Raw genomic sequence first — 25430 nt, forward strand, 5'->3', positions numbered from 1 at the left:
GACAATTGCTTGAACCCAGGAGGTGGAGGTTGCAGTGAGCTGAGATCACACCACTGCACTCAGCCTGGGCAACTGAGACTCCATCTCAGAAAAAAAAAAAAAAAATTCCAAACAGTCCTCAAAGATCATAGGTACCAGATCCATCACCACAAATGCATAGCAATTCCTCAAGAGCCCACTTAAACTATTAAAAAACTGAAGTCATGATTCTGGATATGGGATTCCTGGGCGAACAGAGGATGGGAAGAACCTTATTAATAAGACTCAGCCTGAGCATTGCATGGCAGCACTTGTCACATATGAGCCTGCTCTTACCCAAAACTCCCAAGTTCTCTGCCTCTACACTATGAACTCAGAATTTCTTCTCCTCATATACATTGCAATTATTTTATTTCTACTCTGAGAAAAATTTTACATTAATTTCTATTATATTATTTTGTTTGTCCTATCGTGAGAATTTGAGATCCTGAATCCATCATCCAATATTATTTTCACTCTTTCAACTATGCCCTGATCGAAGATAGGAATAAAATTTTTGATTCAGAAACATTTCTGAATAGTACTTATGAATATCCATCTCATAACAATATTAAACAAAAAAAAATGGATGCAAACTCACATGGTGTCTTGGAAACTATATTAGTTCTATGTGAAAATACATTTCCAAAGTTACTTATGAAGAATATGCTTGGGTATCTGCTCTATATATCATCAAGTCAATTTATGGTTTTTGATAGCTAGCTTCTTTTCCTGCTTTTCCTGTTGTGAGAACAATCACACTGGATATGAGTTTCACTCTAGGATTCTTCCTTTCCATAATATCTCACCAAGAACACTGCCAGTAACTCAGCAGTGTGATTTTTAGTCCCCTCAGCTGATTCGGATGAAATTCTCCTGGGCAGGAGACACAACTTCATTGAGAACTCTGAAGTTCTCTTTTATAAGCTCCTTATCTTTGGGGCGTGCCAGTTTCTGATTTTAAAAACGTCCCGCCTATAATCCCAGCACTTTGGGAACCTAAGGCAGGAGGATTGCTTGAGCCCAGGAGTTCGTGACCAGCCTGGGCAATTTAGGAAGACCCTGTACCTACAAAACAAATTGTAAATAGTTAGCTGGGCATGCTGCTGTGCACTGTGGTCCAAGCTACTTAGGAGGCTGAGGTGGGAGGAGCACTTGAGTCCAGGAGGTCGAGGTAGCAGTGAGCTGTTGTTGCACCACTGCACTCCAGCCTGGGTAACACAGTGAGACCCTGTCTCAAACATAATTAAATAAATAAATAAAAACCTCCTAACCTGTGTATTCCATAATAAAGCTTCTTCATGATGTGCTTATTACACACCGTATGTGTGTAACGAAAATCTCATGTGCCCCACAAATATAAACACCTAATATGTATCCATAAAAATTAAAATTAAAAAAGTTTTTAAAAGCTTCTTAATGAAAAAAAAAAACAGAACTGAATAAGCATCCATTTTCATACCAGTTTCAAGAATGAATTTGGTTCTTGTTTCAAGCATAACTGAGGCAGCTCTCTTGGGGTTCCTCACCCTTCACATCATTTCCAGTTTGTGGTGGATTTGTCCCTCCGGACACTCTCTTTAAAAACGCATTGCATTCTCTTCAACATGTCCTGGGACAGTTGCTTTGCTTGAAAATTGAATTTCTTGCAGAAAATCTGGTATAGCTGTCTCTGTTTGTTTGGGTAATTTCCCATTTTTTCCTGATTGGATGATTTGCTTTTTAAAGTCATAGTTTTGGGGGTTGTTTTGTTTTGTCAAGGGGTCATCATTTTTAGAGTTGAAGCCATGATTATATAGACACAGTTTTCAGAATATATATATATATTTTGATTCAGAATCACTTCTGAATAGTACTTATGAATACCCATCTCATAACAATAGTAAACAAAAAAAAGGACCCAAACTCACATGGCGTCTTGTGAAATTATATATATATATATCTCCTTACCAACTGCATCTTTAGTAACAGTCATTTCCCCACTACAAGTATCTCGTTTACCCCGGCATGGTCCAGATGAGCCTGAAGGTTACTCAAGGACATTTAACTTGGTGGAAACCCAAAGTGATTTTCAAAAGAGCCGTAACCATGGAAACAGGGAAAGGGTTAATTCAAATAACAAGTTAAGAGATGGAAGAAAAGCAATAGCAAGACTGATAGGCGAGAGCGTGTCAGCATCCTGGCAGTACAGGATGAAGGACACAATTAGCCAGGCAGAACTAAGGCACAAAGACCCTTGCACCTGCCCCTTGCATGCGCCTCCAGAGGGGACTAATCCAGGTTCCAGAGCTCATTTCACTTCTAGTTAACACAACACACTCCTCCTTATTGGTCTGAATTAGCATGATAGTATTCTTGGTTTTATGATGTTGGGCAAATTCTGTACTTCTCTATGCTTTCTTTCTTATCTGCAGGTCGAAGGAATAAGCACTTCCTGTACGTTCTAATCAGATAAATCTCACAAATGCCATGTGCATTTTAAATCATCAAAAAATATCATCATTTATAACCTGCCTCCAAATATGGCACCTAGTTGATATTTGGATTATGGAGGTATCCATTTGCTACTCTACTAAATATTTGTGTAGATTTAGGATTGCAGCCTCTGTTCCCTTCATCTATCTTAGAGTCATACAATCTACTCAAGCAATATCATCTCTGTTCTCCTACCTTTTTACTCACTCATCCCTATTTTCCTCTGAGTCTCACATGCAACTTTATGGTTTCTTGTGGACATATGTTCTTGCTGAGTTTCACATGCTGTCGCCCCCCAGCAAAAGATGTCTTTGATAAAGGAATATGCTTCATTACCATGCTTCACACGTTATGAATCTCAACCCTTTCCGTTACAGTGGTAGCTGCAAAAACTATATTTATTAACTTTCAAAATGTTTGTGCTAAATGAATTACTCATGGTTTACCCATTAGTATGTACATATGTATGTGTCATTTCTAATCTTTTTCTATTTTTTCCCTTTAAATACTCTATGTCTCTTCCAATTTTATTATTCCTTATATGCTGTATCCAATATCTACAACACAAATGTTTTATATATTATAACCTGGGCATTTTTCTTCTTCCTTATTTTCCTCTGAGCAAATGGACTCATTTCTGAGTGAATCATCTTTCAAAAGCTGCTAAGATGTATTGCATAGCACTGAGACATGTTTGGGGGCATCTCCAGGCAGCCAACTATTCAACATTTATCTCATCCTTTCTACTCCAAAACCCTAACTTTCAGACACAAGAATAACACAAGATAGATAAAGGCTTATCAGGGATCAATAATCCCCAAGCTGACCCATCATTTAACAGTTATGTAAACTGAATGTATCACTTAATCTCCCAAAGCACCAACGAAGGCCTTTCCTGCATCCTGTATTGGTAATGACCAAAAGGATGAGATTACGGATGTTTGTAAGCAGTAGAGCAGCAATCAACTGTAAGTTGCTGTTAATTTTCATGTTTACAATTACTAATAGAGATGTGGTACATACTGTCAGACGTGAGTGTCTCGGACCACCTAGCTCCCTCCCAGTGGAACTGGGCTCCTTCAGAGGACCAAGCTCCAGGCAGAAGAGCTTGTCCATATCAAAGCTGCCTAAAGGAGAGTGCTGTTCCATAGCCAATTTCAGAAGGATATTTAGGAATGCATGGAAACTCCTAGAAGGACTTGTGACTCTCTACATGAAGAAGCATACATAGTCCAAGGAAATGTCATCGTCTACTGAAAACTGTAATGAGGACACCCAACGACAGACACATATGCACACACTCATATATATAATTGTGTTCAATAATATATAATGCACTAAATATATTACATAATACACTAGACAGAGTGAGAAAGAGTGTGAGAAACCAAGCAGCATTCCTGTAAGTCCTGCAGTGATTTAAAATAAGTAGATAATGTTTCACAGACAAGTGTGAGAACCTCCTTTTGGTGGTTGGTTTTTCTCTAGGGTTACTACTGTCCTTTCATCTTGTTTCTTCAAATTCTCCCAAATGAAAAGAAGAACAGGTTTTGCTATTTGAAGTTTACTGGGCCTGGCTTAGTTCCTGAAGTGATCTTTGCCCATGCAGATTCAGAAGCTTAAAGCTCCCAGTTTCTATGGCTTTGAGTGATTTAAAAAAAAAAAAAAAAAAAAAAAAAAAAAGGAAGAACGCGTGGAGAAGGTTCAGAAGAACCAAAGGCAAGTAAGGTATTTTACAAATCACCAGCAGACCTACTAAGATCACTCTTTACTAATACTTGTTCTTTAAACTGCTTATTCAAGATTTTTCATACACTTATTCAAAGAATTTTCCAATGGAAACATTTTTCAATCCATTTTTTAAATTATGCAGAATATTTTAAGTTTTTGAAAAAAGAAGACTACATTATTGTAGACATATAGCATTTTAAATAATTCACTGTACTTATGTCAATTTGGATGAATATAACTTCAATTCATTGACATAATTTTAAAATTTTTAAAAACATAAAATGTACAATATTTTTGAAATTCATTTTTGTGTGTCCTAAAACCATGATGGCATTTGAGTGCAGGTACATTCTCAGCACTCTTGCAAGATTGCCTTTATGGCACTTAAGGCAATATATGACTTTCATTCATTGCTCGGATTAAAAACAAATCCCTGTAGATACTCAAAGAAAAAATCACACTGGGAGGTGCAGCATTTCCACCCCAGGTAGGATTTAAGGCATTATAGCAAGAAGTCATATGTGTTACACAGCTGTAATCTATTTCTAAGGTTTATCTGCATTAAGTAAGTGCCAGAACACAGATGAATTTACCCAGACATCGAGTTTCGCTGCCGCTCCAGAGCCCATTTGCCAAGCACTCTCTGACATGAGACCCCACAAGCGTGTAGCCGGTGTTGCACGTAAATATAGCTGTGGCCCCATAAACTGTCAACGTTCCAATCTTGTTGCCATTTGGGGGAAAGGAAAGGCTTCCACACGAGATAACTAGAAGGAAAAACAATAAAATGAACATCAATTCAGTTATGCAGATTACTCCTGTGCTCCAAACAAACAAACAAAAACAAACAAAAAAAACCAAAAAACTATTTTTAGTCTTAATTTTCACTAAGAACATGGTTGAGAGTGTCTGCTTAGGGCTGGATAGACCAGTCACTTAAGAAGCTTAATTTTCCATCTTTATGCTCCTGAAACAAAAACCTAAAAGCTTAACGTGGATTCCAAAACATTCTAGATTCCTCCAATTACCCATTAACTTTTGTTGTTGTTGTTGGCATGGAGTCTTACTCTGTTGACCAGGTTGGAGTGCAGTGGCGCTATCCTGGCTCACTGCTACCTCTACCTCCCCGGTTCAAGTGATTCTCCTCCCTCAGCCTCCCGAGTAGCTGCGATTAAAGGCGCCTGCCACCATGTCCCGCTAATTTTTGTATTTTTAGTAGAGACAGTGTTTTGCCATGTTGGCCAGACTGATCTCAAACTCCTGACCTCAAGTGATCCTCCCACCCCAGCCTCCCAAATTGCTGGGATTACAGGCGTGAGCCACTGTGCCTCGACCCATTAATGTTATTTTTATTACCATCCTGACAGGTATAGCTGAACCATTCTTGAAAAAATACACAGTATACAAAGTATAAATGCAGAAGCGTGTCAATCAAATAAATTGTCTATCTCTCTACCTTTCTTTCCATATCAATCCCAAGAATTACATAGTAGTAATTACCAGAAGCCTCAGGAGCCTATCAGGAAATAAGGAATACCAATTTTCTTCACCAAAGCCCATCAGCTGGGACAAAGTAGTGTGGTATTAAAATCTAGGACTTCGGAATGCAATAGCAGTGCTCAGTTTATTTGTTTTTTTAGTTACTTGCATAATTTGTTGGGCTCATGAGCTCTGTAAGAATGCTGACTACACAGGGCATTTGGAGGCTTTCCACAAACTAAAACGTGCATACAAACTAGACCTTAACTGGGTGTCGATGGGGTGACCCTATGCCCCATGTTTACACCTGCCGTCTTAGCACAGTTATTGATCGTGTCCATTTTCACTCATGAAAGTACTCCAGTTTGGCAAACAAGTTAATGGTCACCCTCATTATATATTCTTACTACACCACTGAAATCTCTGCTCTTCAGATTCAGAAACACTTGAGCACAGAAGATCATGGCCTCTCAGGGGAGGGAGGAACTCACAAGGTTATCCAGCCCAACCTATCATCAGAGGCTGAAATATGTTTTGAACAGGTAAGAATGAAAGTGTTAGAAAAGCTATTCAAAGCAAGCATTAAGAGTGCTAGGTGAGCACTGATGTGCAGGGTGCTTCGCTGCAGCCTGCAGTGGCAAACATCGAGTTCTTCCTTATTCACAGTAAACCACAAGAGGCAGTAAAGCACAGTGAGGAAGAACACGGATTCTGGCTGTAGGCTACCCAGGGTCTGGTTCTGCCAGACAGGAGCCAGGCAGCACTTGCCAATTTTCTAAGTCTCTGGGCCCTGTTATGGGTTGATAATAGCTCCTACTGCATAGGCTTGTGCATTAGATTCAAACGGAAGCCATCCCTCGCACATAAGCAGGCTTAATCAGGGTTAACTAACAATGAAAGTATAAATCAGGACCTATTTAGTCAATTGAACCAAAAGTAGAAAAACCTTTAGAGATAATTCAAGTGAGGAAAATAAAGTGATGCATGTACCACTAAAACCAGCCCTTTTGTTGTTGTTTATGTAGACAGAGTCTTGCTCTGTCACTCAGGCTAGGGTGCAGTGGTACAATTGTAGCTCCCAGCAGCAGCCCTGACCTCCTGGGTTCAAGACATCCTTCTGCTCAGCCTCCCAAGTACCTTAGTGCATGGGCACCACCACGCTCAGCTATTTATTTTTTTAATTTATTTTTTGTAGAGATGGGGGTCTCATTGTGTTGTCCAGGCTTGTCTGGAACTCCTGGGCTCAGGCGAATCCTCCCATCTTGGCCTTCCCAGAAGCCCCAGACCTTTTAATTAAGCTGTCTTTACTCCATGTTATGATAGGACAACCGAGGCTCTATCTCAAATGTTCAGACAGAGACACCCAGACTGAGTTTTCTGTGGGGTGCACTACCAGAAATTGGGAGGTCCAACTCGAGAGTCCATCACGACCAGCACACTATTGTTATTGAGACAGCCTCCACGATTTATTGGTTTTGGGGATTGCTAAACTATTACAGTGTCATATCGTTTGCATTTAGTAATATGCTAATATGTTTGCTCTACCAAATGTTAATGAACTCGAGTAGGATTTAGATTTTTACAATTTGTTATAAACTTTTCATTAAGCCTTTTCCCAAACAGGGTGAACTTGTCCTTCAACTATGATATTTAAAGATCCATTTGTAGCAATTTAAGATAATTGGATCTTGTCTTGAAACTTCCATGCTTGCCAGAAAATAACAATGAGGTCTGAGTCGAATTCTTCTTGGAGGTTTCAGCGCACCTTCGCCTTCAATGGTAGAGAAGCAAGACCACCTCCCTCTGCTCGTATGGCTGTTTCTATTGTTGAAGCCTCTGTTAAAAATATTCTGGTGACAAAACTATTTTAAGTTTGTCCTCTAACAAGATTTACTCAATTGTAAAGAAGAAGTAATGGAGCAAAATTTTAGCTTTTCAGTAGCTGAATAATAGAATTTCAGACCCAGAGTTTCCTTGTATGGTAGTAAACTCAATGCATTAATAAAGATAGCAGCAATAACTCGGAAATCTTGCCTGACTGAAAAGGGGAAGCCCCTCACTACTAAAAATAGGCTTTGTCATACACCGAAGGGAAAGCCTTATTTTTATGTTCTTTTTCCTCTGAAGTTTCTAAAAATGAATTGCTTACGTTTGCCTTTTTTTCATTTCATTAAAAGTGTGTCCACGCTCACAGTCCGCAGTGCTTCCTCTGAACTCTGGGAGCAAGTCTTTGCACAAAAAAGACACTTGGCTGACAGCATCCGGAAATCACCTGCAATCCCAAAGCCTCCGGAATGCACCTGCAATCCCACAGCGTCCGGAATGCACCTGCAATCCCACAGCATCTGGAATGCACCTGCAATCCCGCAGCATCTGGAATGCACCTGCAATCCCACAGCATCCGGAATGCACCTGCAATCCCACATCCATAGCATCTGGAATGCACCCGCAATCCCACAGCATCCGGAATGCACCTGCAATCCCACAGCATCCGGAATGCACCCGCAATCCCACAGCGTCCGGAATGCACCTGCAATCCCACAGCATCCAGAATGCACAATCCCACAGCATCCGGAAAGCACCTGCGATCCCACAGCATCTGGAATGCACCTGCAATCCCACAGCATCAGGAATGCACCTGCAATCCCACAGCATCCAGAATGCACCTGCAATCCCACATCCACAGCATCCGGAATGCACCCGCAATCCCACAGCATCCGGAATACACCCGCAATCCCACAGCATCCGGAATACACCCGCAATCCCACAGCATCCAGAATGCACCTGCAATCCAACAGCATCCGGAATGCACCGGCAATCCCACAGCATCCGGAATGCACCCGCAGCCCCACAGCATCCGGAATACACCCGCAATCCCACAGCATCTGGAATGCACCCGCAATCCCACATCCAGAGCATCCGGAATGCACCCGCAATCCCACAGCATCCGGAATGCACCCGCAATCCCACAGCATCCGGAATGCACCCGCAATCCCACAGCATCCGGAATGCACCCGCAATCCCACAGCGTCCGGAATGCACGTGCAATCCCACATCGACAGCGTGTTTTCTCACTGTCCCTGGGGATTCCAAGCCACTAGCCTCTGTTCCCACAGGAAAGTCTCTTTTTTGTCTCTCCTTCAATTCTATGATTATATTCACGTTGAAATATATCAACTTTAAAAAACACTTGTATTGTGACATATCAGTTCTCATACCTGTAAGGACAGCACTCCTATCAGAAATATGAATATTACTTGTGAGTGTGACAAATAAACATAAACTCAAGAGTAGGTCTTTTCAAATACATTCTAGCTAAAAAAAAAAAAAAAAGCTAAATGAACATGCAGACCTCCATGAAGAATAAACAGCTGGCAAGAGAATGTGTGAGCAGGGAGGGGCTCTTTAATATGAATAAAAGGCTCAGTGGACTCACAATGGCTGTTTGCAAATACACGAAGGCACTCCGTATAGATCAGAGTCAGGAATTGTTTTATTAGGCCTAGAGAGATAGAGCTACCATCAATCACTGGATATAAGTCACATAGGAAGCCTGGCACAAAGTAAAAATGTTCAAACATGAAATCAGCTGTCTCTGGGGCAATGAGCTGTCACTACAGTTATTTGATGTTAGCTGGGCATTGACTTGTGAGAATATTATCAAGAAAATTCAACTGCAGGTAGTCCTGAGTGATGTCCAATGTCCACTCCAGCAATGGAACGAAATGACAATGACTACGCTGTGGTTTCCTCGGATATAGACGAAATACATCTGCTGATAAACACAGGCTCCCATACGTTTAATGATCAATCCAGGCCTGCCTCCAGTAACAAACAGCAGATCTTCAAAGACCAGCCCGGACACAGACAGCCCAGAATTTAGGCCATGTTCTTTGAATATCTACAATATTACAAAATTCCAGTGTAGCTCACTGAGTCAGTGTGTGTGTATAAAATTAAAAATGCAAAAATTATTTTTTCTGGTTCAGGGATTTCTGTGATAAATGTTTTTCTTTTTAAATATGAACAGTAAGTCGAACAATAAATAAATGTAATAAGACAAGAGTAAGAGCCTTCTACTTGTGTAAAGACTTTGTGCTAGGAAGGTGTGTAGCCGCCTCTACATATTCAATTTTAACTTTCTCTTATTGTTTCTTGAAGGACAGGACTGCAGAGCTCACTGTTTAAGGGTGACTATGCTCTCCTGTCCATTCATTCATGGAGACCTGAGTTTTTCTCTAGGGACATATTAAAGTAGCCTGGAGTTAGAACAGCACAAACCCTTCAAAAAGTGGTAAATTTCTCAGCGGATTCCACAGTTGTCATGAATGTGATTAATAGGTGATCAAGGCTCACCTCTTCATCTGGAGCTACCTAGACAAGCAGAAAGGGAAATTCTATTTCCAGCTCCTAAGCAAATAAGTAACTGAAAACATTTAATTTCTGGGAGATCTTACAAGCAGGGCCACTCTAAAATGAACACTGGGGAGTCAAAAAAAAAAAAAAAAGGAAAATGACTGCTCCTTACCTGCACCAATGACTCGGGTGATGCTACCCTTGAAGATTCCGTTGGTCCTGATCCAACAGAACATAGAGAGTGACACTGTGTATCTTCTATGAAGAAGCTAGCACAGTGTGGAAAATTGGCCTTACAAAAATGTGTCATGTTCATTACTTTTAATTAAGGAATTAAATTATGTTTTAATTTCCTGGGGTTTATCACACACTTATTTAATAGTAAATTATATTATTACCAGGATTCATGGTGTGGTGTGTGTGTGTGTGTATGTGTGTGCAAAGTAGGAAACATGAGAGATAAATGTAATTTAAGCATAGAATGAAATAAAAATGTGTTACAGAAAAAATGAATTAATGTGTTTATTGATTTTTTTCTTGTAGATCCCAGATAATGTTTACATTTTGAGGTTTTTTTTGGGGGGGGAGGGCAGTGGGGGAGGTTGGGGACAGAGTATTGCTCTGTCGCCCAGGCTAGATTGCAGTGATGGGACCTCAGCTCGCGGCAACTGCCACCTCCTGGGTTCAAGCGATTCTCCTGCCTCAGCCTCCCAAGTAGCTGGGATCACAGGTACATGCCACCACACGGGACTAATTTTTGTATTTTTTAGTAGAGACAGGGTTTCACCATGTTGGCCAGGTTGGACTCAAACTCCTGACCTCAGGTGATCCACTCGCCTTGGCCTCCCAAAGTGTTGTGATTATAGGCATGAGCCACCATGCCTAGCCTACATTTTAAGTTTTTAAAAATTGTGTTTTTCACTTTCTTTTGGGTGAGTAAAGTTTTAAAGGTGGTGTAATTCTCACCACCACATTGCCTGTGTTTTCTCTGATACTATTAAGTGACTTTCAAGAGAGTAGATGGTTACCATGTTGAGGAACTCAATATTTGTCCCAAGTAAATAAAATCAAGAATATTGAATATTGCACTAAAGCTGGTTGTGAAACATACATAGATAATGACACTAGTACTCATGAAAATCCATGTTGGAGGGAAACACAAGACAACTGTTGTTCGTACTGTTCCCTCCACTGCTTTGTGTACTGCCTGCCTGTGCCTTGGATACACGTGCCCTAAAACTGTGTATTGTGTGGTGTTATTCTAAAACTGTGTATTGTGTGGTGTTATTCTGAAACCGTGTATTGTGCGGTGTTATTCTGAAACCCTGTATTGTGTGGTGTTATTCTAAAACTGTGTATTGTGTGGTGTTATTCTGAAACTGTGTATTGTGTGGTGTTATTCTGAAACTGTGTATTGTGTGGTGTTATTCTGAAACTGTGTATTGTGTGGTGTTATTCTGATACCGTGTATTGTGTGGTGTTATTCTGAAACTGTGTATTGTGTGGTGTTATTCTGATACCGTGTATTGTGTGGTGTTATTCTGAAACTGTGTATTGTGTGGTGTTATTCTGAAACTGTGTATTGTCTGGTGTTATTCTGAAACCGTGTATTGTGTGCTGTTATTCTGATACCGTGTATTGTGTGGTGTTATTCTGAAACTGTGTATTGTGTGGTGTTATTCTGAAACCGTGTATTGTGTGGTGTTATTCTGAAACCGTGTATTGTGTGGTGTTCTTCTGAAACTGTGTATTGTGTGGTGTTATTCTGAAACTGTGTATTGTGTGGTGTTATTCCGAAACAGCTCTTCTAAAAATGGGATCCAAGAACTCCTGGACTTCTCTGATATTCTTTTAGCGGTCAACAAGCATCTCCCTTTCCAATGACTACACTACCAACCATCAATATATTTTATTTTACATATCTCCACCAAAACAACAAACTTTGACAAAGTTAATGCAGAAGGTGCTGAGAATCCAGCCACCCTGTATTAAGCCACACATTAAGGGGCTTTGAAAAATTTTAAAATGATGACATTCTTCACATTAATTTTTGCTTTGTTTGAAAATGAATCCTTATTGTTCATAAAAATGTGTTACTTATGTGAGCATGTAATTGATATGTTATTTTAAATTAATACGTAAAATTGTATCCGTTTTAGTGTAAATAAATTAACAAATCAATATTTTAAAATAATAATAGTTTTTAATGTATGATATAGTTATAAAAAGGTCTTTGGGGTCCAGTGGTAGGCAGAATTCGAAGGTGGTCCCTACGTGTCCCACCCCTGAGTCGAGACATCTCCTCAAATCCTCTCCCCCTGAGTGAGGGCAGAACTCTGAGGATGTTAGGAGTCAGCTGACTTTGAGTTAATAAAAAATGAGATGATTTGGATGGGAACAGCCTGGTGAGGGAAGCCCTTATCAGGAACTAAGTCCTTCCTGAAGTCAGAGAGATTGGACTCAGGAGAGGGCCTGGTGGGGTGGGGGACAGAGGGCCAGGAGCTTAGTATTTCCCCATCAGCAGCAGCAATAACATCAGGTCCTCAGCCACACACCACAAGGACATGAACTCTGCCCAGGAGCCAGGTTTGGGAAGCTGATCTGAACCTCACTGGACCTCGCTGGATCCCACTGGAGCCCACTGGGCCTCACTGGACCTCACTGGACCTCACTCGGCCTCACTGGGCCTGACTGGACCTCACTGGACTTCACTGGGCCTCACTGGGCCTGACTGGACCTCAGTGGACTTCACTGGACCTCACTGGGCTTGACTGGGCCTCACTGGACCTCACTGGACCTCACTCAGCCTCACGGGGCCTGACTGGACCTCACTGACTTCACTGGACCTCACCGGACCTCACTGGGCTTGACTGGGCCTCACTGGACCTCACTGGACCTCACCGGGCCTCCAGCCCTGTCAACACCGTGAACTCTGCCCTGTGAGACCGTGAGCAGAGGATCCAGCCAAAATGTGCCAGGTATCTGAGCCCAGAAGCTGGGCCGTAGCGAATCTGTGTTATCATGAGGCCCTTAGCACGTGGTGACTAGTTATGCAGCAATCAATAACTAACACAGGTCCTCAAATTTTAAAAATAAAAATTTTATGAAAACCCCTGAGAACAGTTGCCTTCAAAGAGGCTGGGCTATCCCTTCCATAGAGGGTCTGCTGAATGACCTTGGTAAAGGGGTTTCTAGACTTCTGTACTCTGATGTCATTTCCAAAACATTGAGGCAAGAGATAAAAAGAGGAGAAAGCGGCCATTAAGGCTTGTAAATTTTAGCCAGCATCCCAATTTAAACAAAAAGTCACACACTACGACATCTAAGACGGCAAACCTATGCTCCAAAAAGAGAAAAAAAGATTGACAAGCCCTGTATTAGTACAATTTAAAAAATTTTTTTAAATGTTTAAAATATATATAGTAGATATAAGAATAAATTGACAATATCAACATCAGGCCTTTTGGGGGGAAAAAAAAGACAAAGCAGAAAATTTCAGTTTGGTCACAAAAGTAACAATATACTCCATGTCAGCTTTCCCCAGCACACTGCATTCCCTGGTGTGGAATTGGTTCTCTGATACCATTCTCCACCAGACGATACCAGGGCTTTTTGGAGAACAATGTGTTTGGGTAAGAAAAATTCCAGATAACCATACAACATCCTGTTTTTATGAGAAAACAAGGACCATTTCAGAGATGTTAGAGGGACCAAATGAAAAAGCTGTGTAAAAGGGACTCCCCGGCCAAAGTGTCACAACCTGAGCTACAGATATTAATAAAATCATTTTTTTAAAAGTCAACAATGATTTCAGCTGGAATCCAGTGACTCTGGAAAATGCCACGTGTACACGATGACATTCAAGGGACAAATAGCAAAGTGTGATAGAACAGCTCGTGCCCAGCCCGCAAGCAGCAGGCAGCTGACAATTTAGAAAACAAATTTGTGGCCCGAGACACCTAGACATGTGATGATAAATGATGTGTGGGGGTTGTGACTGGACCCCGCTCCGTGTCAGAAACACCAGAATACAGTTGATAAAACCAGAGGCAGGAAAACAGACTTTCTAGAATTTCAGAAGCTGGAAGCAGAAACACCGTTCAAGGACAGCAGAGCTCTACCTTTGCTTTCTTTCCCAAGATGAGGTCAACGCCTTGCTACTAATGAGTTTAGTTCAGGAATGAGGTTTTTGTTAACATTCCCTTAAGGAGAAGGCTCTCCACTGTACGTGAAAATTCTTCGGGAACGCTGAGTTGTGAGCATGGAAGATTGTCACGCAGCAAATACCATTTGGCACGGCCCTGCTCTGGGAAGACAGGGACACCGTAGGTGGGCATCCCTGGGAAATCAGAGAGACAAGAAAACGCTGTACTGCGCTGTGCCAGCCGCAGAAGCCCTGTGTAAAACCCCACCTGGAAGAAATTAATAAGTGTCTGTTTTTAAGATCCTATTTCTGGTTTGAAATCGACAAGATGATGTTGGCGGGAAGAGTCTAAAATAGGCAAAAGGTTAGAGTTCCTGACTCCTTCTCCTAATCTCTCCTTACCGGTGCTAATGCTGGAATCTCCAGGTGACAAAATCTGTGCACGACTGGCAAGAATGTCGGGAAGGGGGGCATTTCCTAAGCTGCAAAGGTGTGACAAAGAGGAACGGCTCTGCAAACTCAGTGACCAGGTCATTACCCATCCAAACCAGGACACCGTTCAGAGTGACAAGCAATCACTAATAAACACCTGGAAAACAGGCTTCAGGCAGGGCTATCTTAGAGAAACGGGGACCATGTTCATTACGATTATGAAAGCTTTGAGCTCCCTGAGGCCAGCAATCCTTCCTGATTTATCTTTGTGTTCCTGGTGAAGAGCTTGTGGTACGTGTTTCATTAACATTTGTTCTATTAAAAGTTGAATTAAAATTATTATCAAAGACAGTTAAACATTCATGCTTTTGTCTTTTTCAATTTTTATTCTGGCATATTCTTACCAAGCTGTGTATTTTATAAATTATACACTATTCTACTTGTTTTTATGCATGATAATTTTCTGTGAACAATCAAGTAAAGATTGTATACTAGACACATCTGATTCAGAGTGCTCTGAACAATACTAGCATTGTTTTATTTTTCTATTTCACCATATTTAATGTGAAACTCACTGAAAGCTTTAACTGCTTATCTTGTACCTAAGAGAATAATCATCTCCCTTGTGAAAACAGTCTTTATTTGAGAACACAATATCTTCAGCATTCATACTATTTCCCAAGATCCCAATTAGAACTCTTGAATAGTCTGTCTATGGCGTAAGAGTTATCTTTTTACACATAGGTTTGTATTTGTCTTTGAGCTGATTTGAAATACAGTTGGAGAAATACAATTATTAACAAGGAAAAGACAACATCAAATGCCTAATCGAGCAGCAATGTGGTTTAAGTATGTCACATGACAATACATATTCACATCGCAATGAAAAGACAGGCCATTTGTTCTTTTGATCTATAGGACTATGGTAGATGATAGCTCCACTAGAGAAGCTCACCACTGACATAAGCCATCTAGAATAATCTAGGATGCCGTGACTTTCAGGGGTGCCTCCCTCATCACTTACCTCGACAGCTTGGCCTCTCATCTCCTATGTTCCACGTCCCATTGGCCTGGCACCGCAGGAGCCTCCAGCCTTCTAAGTAGTAACCAGGACTGCAGCTCAGCAATACTTGAGCACCGTACTCATTCAAGGATCCTGAAACCAGCCTCCAGATGACATGTTCTGAGAGCTGAGCTTCAATGCTGGGGCAAGCGACCGCTGGAAGGGAAACGTACATCACATCATCATTTTTCTTTTTTGGAAAACATCAGACCGTGCTTGCTTTGGATGGCAAGGTCTTGCTATATGAAACTGATCTTGTTTGGCAAAGTTGATGCCATTACGTATTATCTCAGTGTTTCTCTACCACCCACATAGACATATGGGAATGATCCCATATGTAAAATGCATTCAATTGCCTCACTACAGATGTCCTGGGAAGTCTGCAGTCAGACTGAACTGTAAAGGGGGTAAATCACTTCCACAAAAGTATATGGCTCATTGAAGTTGATGAAAATTTTCATGAGGGTAATGAGCATATGCAAATAAAAATCTTACATATAATTTCCCTCAATATCCTTGGAGGAACTTGGAATAGTAATTGTGTAATTGCAAACCAGCTGGGACACTAATTTTCAGAAACTCAGATGCCCTCATTTCTTCAAACCTATGAAACACACATATATAATATATCTATATATCATTGAATGTAGAAACACACAGAAATACATAGGCATACTGCACTAATACTGTTTCCAAAAATGTTTAACAAGTCTTAAAGGAGACCATCTATTCATGTCCTTAGAAAAGGGCCTAGAATATAGCAGTTACTTAAGAAAGAGTAGTAGCAATTGTAATAGTGACAGCAACAGTAGTAGCAGTAGTAGTATACTATTACCAGGGTGGACTTCAAGGACTTTCTAAATATACTGAAAATATATACAGAGTCTGAGTTGTATGTGGGTACATATTCTTTGAAAAGTGCAAGATGATTTAAAATACATTACACAAAATTAGAAACCAGAACCATTTCTCTAATTACGAAGATTTAGTAGCTATCATTCATTAAAATCAACCACCAAGAAAATTGATCAAATTGATTAATTTATTGAGCTGGGAAGAATTAACTGGAGAGACTATAGCTATTTTCAGAATCATAGTGTTATATTTTAAATTCTTTTTTTGTGTGTGTGACAAAGTCTCGCTCTCTGTCTCCCAGGCTGCCAGGCTGGAGGGCAGTGGCATGATCACGGCTCACTGCAAACTCTACCTCCCGGGTTCAAGCGATTCTCCTGCCTCAGCCTCCCAAGTTGCTGGGACTATGGGGATACAGATGTCCACCACCATGCCCAGCTAATTTTTGTATTTTTAGTAGAAATGGGGTTTCACCACGTGGGCCAGGCTGCTCTTGAACTCCTGACCTCAAGCGATCCACCCACCTTGGCCTCCCAAAGTGCTGGGATTACAGGAATCAGCCACTACACCAAGCCTATATTCAAATTCTATACAAGTTTATTAGAATTGAGTCAGGCATAACCAAAATTTTACAAAAATCTTGATTAGTCTTTTCTCAGTAATTTCCAAGTACTATATAAAAATATACAGAAAAATGTGGCTCTTTTTGATATCATCACAACAGTAACAATGAAGTCTAAAATGGGAAGAAAAATTGCTAATTTAAAAGTAATCCTTAGGTTTCTTTCTCTCAAGTATTTTTTTAGGTTGAAGGAATTATTCTAAATTTATAAGAAGATTCAAATGTTTAACCTAATGATAAAAATAATATTTTTCTCCAGCCAAAATACTCTTACAATTTCTAGCAAAACTGTTTCTGAAAAGCCCTTAAAGGCTTTTAGCCTCATAAATTTATAACTCAACTTGAATCTGACTGCATATTTCAAATAAAATGCATTTAATTTCACCAAAAACATGCACCGCATGTTCTCACTCATAGGTGGGAATTGAACAACAAGATCACATGGACACAGGAAGGGGAACATCACACTCTGGGGACTGTTGTGGGGTGGGGGGAGGGTGGAGGGCTAGCACTAGGAGATATACCTAATGCTAAATGATGAGTTAATGGGTGCAGCACACCAGCATGGCACATGTATACATGTGTAACAAACCTGCACGTTGTGCACATGTACCCTAAAACTTAAAGTCTAACAATAATAAAAAAAAATTATTTTTAATAACTTGAACTATCTTTTACAAACTTTATTTCTGCCAAGAATGACTCAACTTTGTTCTTTCTTTCTTTCTTTGTTGTTTCCTTGTTGTTTTATACAGACTAGGTCTAGTTATATGGCCCACGCTGGTCCTGAAGTCTTGGGTCAAGTGATCCTCATGCTCAGCCTCCCAAAGTGCTGGGATTACAGGTATGAGCCGCTGCACCCAGCCAAAAATTCCAATTTGGTTCACACAACGGAATCAGACAATTTTTTGAGCTGATACCATCTACAGTATCAATTTCCAAGTTCTTCATGATGATCTCTTTCTTCATGAAAATGGTATTTGGTTTGGTTTGTAATTATCTTAGGCTAGTTTGATTATTTGCTCACATCTCTCTTTTTTTTTTTTGGCTATGCTATACCCTCATTTATTGTAAACACTGTCTTTTTACATTTTTTTAGTATAGTGACTGACAAATTAGACACTATATGTGTGTATGTGTGTGTATATATATATATATACACATAATATAATTATATGTGTGTATGCTTTGAAAAATAGCCTGCCAAGAAAATACATTGCCACAACAAAAGAAAGAGAGGAAAGAAACGTGTATGAGTGGAAATTAGGAGTAAAAAGAAAAGTGAGGACTGCAATAAATATTAATATTAAAGTCCATCTTGTCCTTTGTTAACTGAAGGATGAGAGTGGAAGAGTGGAGATTTCCAGAAATTTGTGCAAATTATCATTTTATTTAATATTTTTTAAGAATGATAGGTAGAGAACATACAAAAAAAACTGAGTTTGAATACTCTGTGACGTAATTTGGGAGGAGAAATCCCAAATAATATAAACCAAGAGGATGCCAGACCATTTTCCCTAAAGAGTGGTAGAAAAGGTACAGTCTTTGTCAGTTGTGTCTCCATGCACCCCTGCGTTCATACAAAAACAGTGCCAACAGCCCCCACGGAATGGTGGGCCCTGATTTGCTGTGGTCAATAAGGCTGTCCCAAAGAATGTCCTTTATCTTGGTCCAATAAAATAATGTGGCAAAAATCTGATAACAGAACTGTGACTCTCGCGAGAGGGTACTGAATTCAAATAAAAACAGAACATTTTACAACCCCCAAACACCTACCCCAGTCTACTGATTCACATGCCTGTACGTGGTTTCTAGTCACTGACATCAGAAGCCTGAAAACAGTGTCTTCCTGCAGTCCCTGTCACATACACTCTCACAAAGGTGTCTACACTCAACCCCCCCAACTCCCTATGTTTTCTCCTCTTCTGTGCATCCTCAACCTCTACCTTACTTCAGAGTCAAATGCTTAGTTTTGGCGCAAAATTTCACTTGCACACCCTTAAAAGAATATTTTTAAAAAACACTGATCTCTTTATATACCCTTCATTAAAAATTTAAAATTTTCCTCATAAGTTTAAGTCATTGACATTACCAGTATATGAAATGCAAATTATGGTAAAAGTGCCATTAAATAAAATACCACTTTTACTCAAGTCCAAGAGAATAATACCACGGCAACTTGACACTTCTGAATATTCATTTAAAAGAAATTCAACAAATTTATTTCATTCCTTGTTCTCTTCCAACTATTAATTCTAGGCTACAGTTTCTATAAAAAAAATTTAAAGATATTTTATTTTGAAAGTTCTTTATGAATAATCTATAACACTTAACTGTACCAAACTTCGATTTTTAAATTTCCTGTGACCACACATTTTCACAGTGAAAACATTCTCTTTGATTTAGATGCAAATTTCCTATTAATATACCATTGATTGAATAAACAATATGATAAAATTGTTGATAATCTACATTCAACACAAAAGTAATGTTTTATTGGTAAGACACCAATTGATGCTACAGATAAAGCATTGTTGTTCATGCACTACTGATTGTTAGAAAGAGACAAGCTGTAGTATCAATTGTATTGCTATTGTGGACTTCAGACCTCAAGACAAGTAGTGTTAAAATAAATTTGGCTCACTGAGAATGACGGTTAACACGGGAACAGAAAACCAAACACCGCGTGTTCTCATTTATAAGTGGGAGTTGAACAACGAGAACACATGGACACAGGGAGGGGAACATCACACACCAGGGCCTGTCGGGAGGTAAGGGACAAGAGGAGGGAGAGCATTAGGACAAATACTTAAACCACGCGGGATTTAAAACCTAGATGACAGGTTGACGGGTGCAGCAAACCACCATGGCACATGTATACCTATGTAACAAACCTGTATGTTCTGCACATGATTCCCAGAACTTAAAGTAAAATAAAAATAAAATAAACTTAAAGTAAAATAAAAATAAATAAACAAATTTGGCTTCGAGTTACCTTTACACCTTGAATTCCTACACAGTGAACTGCAACCTCACTCAGTACACAGCAAACTGCAACTCAACTCAAGAGGATGTGGTTGTAACAAGGAGTTGAGTCTCAGCTCATCACAGCAGCCTTGCTTCAGCCCATCGCGGGCCCCAGACTAGTCAGACCACCCCCTAGTCGGGCAGGTGCCCAGACGTGGCTCCTCCAGCTGCCTCCCCATGTGCCTTCCTTTTTCTATCAGTGCTGCTGCCCACATTGCTGGGTGGAGCTCTCTGGACCTTGCCTGGATTTGAAGGCTGCCTGATTGATACACCTATTTACTCAAATAAACTCTGCTAAATTTCATGTGTCAAAAGTTTTCTCTTAACAGGTAGAAGAAAAATAGTTGGAATGAAGAAAAAGATTTGATGTGGTTTCTGGCTGATGAAATCGCCCATGCTTTTTTGTCCTTTTTTAACTGTTTTCCATAGTTTCCAGGTTTTCTATATATTACTAATGGTCAGAGAAAAAGCCAACCAAGAGATCAAAGGGACTTAGGAGTAGTGGCCTGATAGGCACAGACATCATTTTACAGTTAGGCTGAAAAACTGAAAGCTGAGAGGACTTTATTTGTTTACAAGAAAAACTGGAAATAGTTCAACTAAGTCCCAGTGAAAAAATCTTCTGTCTTGAGGTACAAATATATATGTATACAAACACACATTACATATATAAACACATAAAAACACATAAATATATGTACATATGTAATTTATATGTATGTATAAATTTTAATATATACCTACTACACATAAATGCAAAAGGTTATAAAAATCAATGCATAATAGTTTAACAAGGGATTATTTAGGAAGACTAGGATGCTTCTGTTATGTTCTTACTTTGTTATTTCTTCCCACAATATCATACTTAGAGAGGAAAAAGTGAAAAGAGAGTAAAAATATAGTCTATAGGGACATTTTCATTTCATGACATTAAACATTATAGACTAGGGAATAAGATAAAACTGAGAAATATAGAGGATGGTAGAATACATGAAGCTGAAGTTAAGAACTGGAGCAAAAATATGACTCGAACATCACAGAAGGCAAAGCGTGAGCCAGCGGCACTGTGGAGAAAGGGAAGGAGGGCCTCGGAAACGGCTTTCTACTGAGCTCTCATTTCTGCCCAGGGATGGCCCTAACACTCAAAGGCAGTTGCAGTAAACATGCACGCCTCCCCTAAGACTTAAGACAAAGTGGAGTTACAGTCAGGAGGCAACACGAAACAGCCTGAGTACCTCTGTGCTGACATTTTTAAAGAAAACACTTGGTTCTTTCTAACAAAAATATCTTAGCTAGATCTCTCCTAAGATACAGGGCTGTTCCCTGTACCTGCCAGCACTCCCCAGTCCCCCACCATCATAGGCAGATACTGCAGAGCGCGGCTGCTCCCAGAGACGCGCATCTGTTTAAAAAGCTCTTTTCACATTGTGTATGTAATTGTATATGTAATTCTACTGTAAGCGGATCCTCACTCACAACGACACTGAGACAGAAAAGGAGGGTATCACTATTATTTGTATTTATTTGCAAGTTACAGAGGAGCAAGGAAGCCCAGGCTCACCCCAACCAAGCCAGAATTTCCATCTGTGGGTCTCACATCATGTTGTGTTTCTGACTTGTCACTTTCCCTGAACACTAGAAACAATACGGGAAAATTTGATTTATTCTACAAATGACTAAAATGAGTAACTCCAAGCATAGTTTCAGGAATTGAATCGACAAGAGCTCCAAACATACTAGCATACAGATATCAAATGAATAACAAACTCCTTGAATGTTTTAAAATTTTGGTCAACCTGGGAAAATGTAGCAAAAGAAAGTGTTTTGCTAATATAAACTTTATAAATCAATATTTTTAACAATTATAAGTGAATAAATTGCCAGGTCAAGTTTTGTAAAATTAAATGTTTTCAAAAACATAAGGGTTTAGCTGGCATGACAGACATTGTTCAACTTGCCAGTTTACCTTATATTTCTTCTTTTTTATTTTTAAGGAAATACAGGCTACCTTCTATTACCTTAAAGAAAACAACTATAAAGGAATAATTTTCTTCAATTTTCACAAATTCAGGAGAACATTTACTGGAGATCATTTCAAAATATTTGACATGGTTAATACCATTGACTATGTTGATATGGTTGACACATTTTTGTTCTAAAAACCTTAAATTATGCTTCCCAAATCCAGATCAGTTGAAAGTATAAACAATATATAGTCCTGTGCATAAAAGACACATTGCCCTGACTTGTGAGTGTTTCAGCAACAACACAAAATACTTTGCATTTTACTTAAGAAATATCAGCCTTTAATTTGGCCGTGAGTAATTCTGATTTATTATAGACTCATTCAGCCAGTGACAGGATAGAAGAATAAACATTGCTTTAAGATATTTAGACAAGGGAAGTGAGATTACCATAAATAAAGCCCTTTGCCCTTCTCTCTCAAAAATTTCAGAAACTTATCATAAATCTTCTGTGATATTCTAATCAGCCCCTAGATTCTGGATGCAATTGTTTTGTTTTGCTTTGTTTTGTTTCTTAACAGAGAAGTCTCCCCTATCGTACTCAATGTGGGTAAGTGCTTCTTATAACCAACTTTAATTGAAGCACATTTAATGAGATTTATAAAATTATGATTAGATGTCATTGGAGTAAACTGATTTAATCAGCCTCATAACTGTTCCTCATACACACAACTAAAGCAAAGTGTGCAGTCTAGCACTAAAAACCTGTGCTTACTGGACACGCGAGAGAAAAACTGGTGTTAGTTCTAGTACCTTAGAAGCCTAAATAACAAGACAACTTTGGTTTGGGTAAAAAATAAATATAAAGTTTTTGGGGAAAACTAGGATACTAAGACCTTTTAAATGTGTTTCATACCATCGAATTTCAACAATCCTCTCTTAAAAAACCCGTCCACCAAGACAAAATCAAGAACATGGGATTCTTTTCTTTTTGGCTTTTAGAAAATTATTTCAATAGCTTTTTGGGGTACAAGCGTTTTTGGTTACATGGATAAGTTATCTAGGGGTGATTTCTGGGATTTCAGTGCACCTGTCATCCAAGCAGTGTGCACTGTATCCAATATGTAGTCTTTTATCCCTCACCCATCTTCCTATCTATCATCCCCTTGAGTCCCCAGAGTCCACTGTATCATTCTTATGCATTTGCATCCCTATAGATGGGCTCCCACTTAAAAGTGAGAACATAACGATATTTGGTCTTCCATTCCTGAGTTACTTCACTTAGAATAATGGCCTCCAGCTCCATCCAAGTCCCTGCACAAGACATTATTTCATTCCTTTTTATGGCTGAGCAGTATTTCATAGTGCATATATACCACACTTTCTTTTTTTTGTTTTTTTGAGACGGAGTCTCGCTCTGTGGCCCAGGCTGGAGTGCAGTGGCGGGATCTCGGCTCACTGCAAGCTCCGCCTCCTGGGTTCACGCCATTCTCCTGCCTCAGCCTCCCGAGTAGCTGGGACTACAGGCGCCCGCCACCAAGCCCAGCTAATTTTTTTTTGTATTTTTAGTAGAGATGGGGTTTCACCGTGTTAGCCAGGGTGGTCTGGATCTTCTGACCTCGTGATCCGCCCGCCTCGGCCTCCCTATACCGCACTTTCTTTATCCACTCATTGGTTGATGGGCACTGTGTGGATTTCATATCTTTGCTATTGCAAACTGTGCTGCTATAAACATGGGTGTGCATGTGTCTTTTCCACAGAGTGACTTCTCTTCTTTTGGGTAGATGCCCCGTAGTAGGGCTGCTGGAGCGGACGGTAAGAGGATATGGGATTCTTAAGGACAAAAGTTGTTTTTGGATTTTTGCTTTACCCTTACAGCTTAACGAAATGATTCCTAAATGAGTTATCTAGAATAAGAGTAGATGACCAATTAATAGAGTTTTAAAGTTAACTTCTAGGAAGTAATTTATGGGCTCACCTGAGAGTGACTAGCTTTTTAGAAACATTAGACAAAAAGGTCTCAAGGCATTAAGTTCTAGCTTCTTCTTCCCCAAGATTTCCAACTGAATCTAGACCTTCATAACACTGTCATATTCTTAGGGTTTCGAATCACCAGACTTTTCCTTATTCCTGCCACTACTGTTTTTTCCATTTGTGAAGCTTCTAAAACCTTCAGAAAATCGGGCATCTATATTTCTCTGGCCCGGCTTTCTTATTTTTTATACTATGGTTATTTTAAAATACATATATTTGAGCAGACTTAGATCCTGGAATATTTAAATAACTAACTATAGCCATGTTAAATAAATAGTGTTCCAACGCTATCGGTAGCCTAAAGGCAAACCAGCCATGGAATCTGATCTCAGCGAGACAAGACCAACACTAAATTCACCTCATCCAGTTAGTGATACCAGCAAATAGGCCTTTGAAGTTTTGCAACTTTATTACCTGAGTTCAATATCAAAGCTACTTTTTAAATTTCATGAAATGCCTGATATTTTAATTACATAAAATGAGTCTAATCCAACCCCTGGGAAGGATTTTGAAAAATAGTATGACTGATCCAAGCATAGATTTAAAGTCAAAAATCTTAGTGTTCCATTCTTTGACTTGTTGGGCTTAATTGTAAAAGCAATACACAGCATTTATATTACTGGTGGCTCTCTTTGAAAAGATTGTTTCCTTATTTACTTCTAAAACGTTCCTTAAAATTTTTCTTGTGGTTATTTGTTTTGTTTTTATTTACATGTTATAAGGTTTCACATGTTGCCTGCTTTTCGAGGTCATGGTTTTACCATGCACTGCATATAACGCTGAACTGGGTATTAGACAATTCCTCAAATTAAGAATATCCTTAGAGCTCTTTGCTGAAAAAAAAATTCGCTTAAGTATTCTTTCCTAATTGCCCTAATTATAAAATTTTTTCTTACAATATTTTAAATAAGAATATATCCACATACTCAAGCGTAATTTGTTGATTATGATGAAGACGACCTTAAACCTTAATGCTATTACGGATTTGGCACAGTTAGTGCCATGAGAACCCAGCCAGAGCCACATAGAGGCTTAAACTTCATCATGGAGACAAGCCATAAAAACCAGCAGTTGGCATCTGAGCTGGTGACTATATAGATTAGGTAAACTGATAAGAAATTCTACAAGAATAGATGGCGACAAGCAGACTAGGTCAACTCTTGAGTACTTTGGATCTTCGCAGAAGAGATCTAGACAGAAAGTAACCCAGGCAGCAGAGTGGGAGCAAAGGGT

At 39.5% G+C, this 25430-nt stretch overlaps 1 protein-coding gene and 1 long non-coding RNA gene across 10 annotated transcripts in view, besides 1 other annotated feature; one reads left to right on the forward strand and one right to left on the reverse strand.

Annotated features, from left to right (window-relative positions):
* Positions 1-10572, forward strand: part of LOC105377785 (uncharacterized) — a 297276-nt gene extending 286704 nt beyond the window's left edge. For 3 of the 5 annotated variants that reach the window (NR_168445.1, NR_168442.1, NR_168441.1), the window contains 2 exons: positions 6138-6245; positions 7881-10572. This is a non-coding gene — a long non-coding RNA (uncharacterized LOC105377785). The remainder of the gene's footprint in view (positions 1-6137; positions 6246-7880) is intronic. The other 2 variants (NR_168443.1, NR_168444.1) reach the window with 1 other exon arrangement.
* CSMD1 (CUB and Sushi multiple domains 1) overlaps positions 1-25430 on the reverse strand; it is a 2059554-nt gene that overhangs the window by 78299 nt on the left and 1955825 nt on the right. For all 5 annotated transcript variants that reach the window (XM_011534752.3, NM_033225.6, XM_011534753.4 and 2 more), the window contains 2 exons: positions 15660-15854; positions 4818-4991 (listed from right to left, as the gene is read on the reverse strand). In XM_011534752.3, coding sequence (XP_011533054.1) covers positions 4818-4991; positions 15660-15854 — 369 coding nt within the window. The remainder of the gene's footprint in view (positions 1-4817; positions 4992-15659; positions 15855-25430) is intronic.
* Positions 12374-12875: an enhancer, noted in NCBI's record as "H3K4me1 hESC enhancer chr8:2883555-2884056 (GRCh37/hg19 assembly coordinates)". NCBI's record gives its function as "activates a minimal SCP1, AML or CMV promoter by ChIP-STARR-seq in naive H9 embryonic stem cells {active_cell/tissue: H9 hESC(naive)}" and the evidence as "EXISTENCE:reporter gene assay evidence [ECO:0000049][PMID:30033119]".

The sequence above is a fragment of the Homo sapiens genome, chromosome 8 (genome assembly GCF_000001405.40).
Source record: "Homo sapiens chromosome 8, GRCh38.p14 Primary Assembly".
Lineage (NCBI taxonomy): Eukaryota > Metazoa > Chordata > Mammalia > Primates > Hominidae > Homo > Homo sapiens.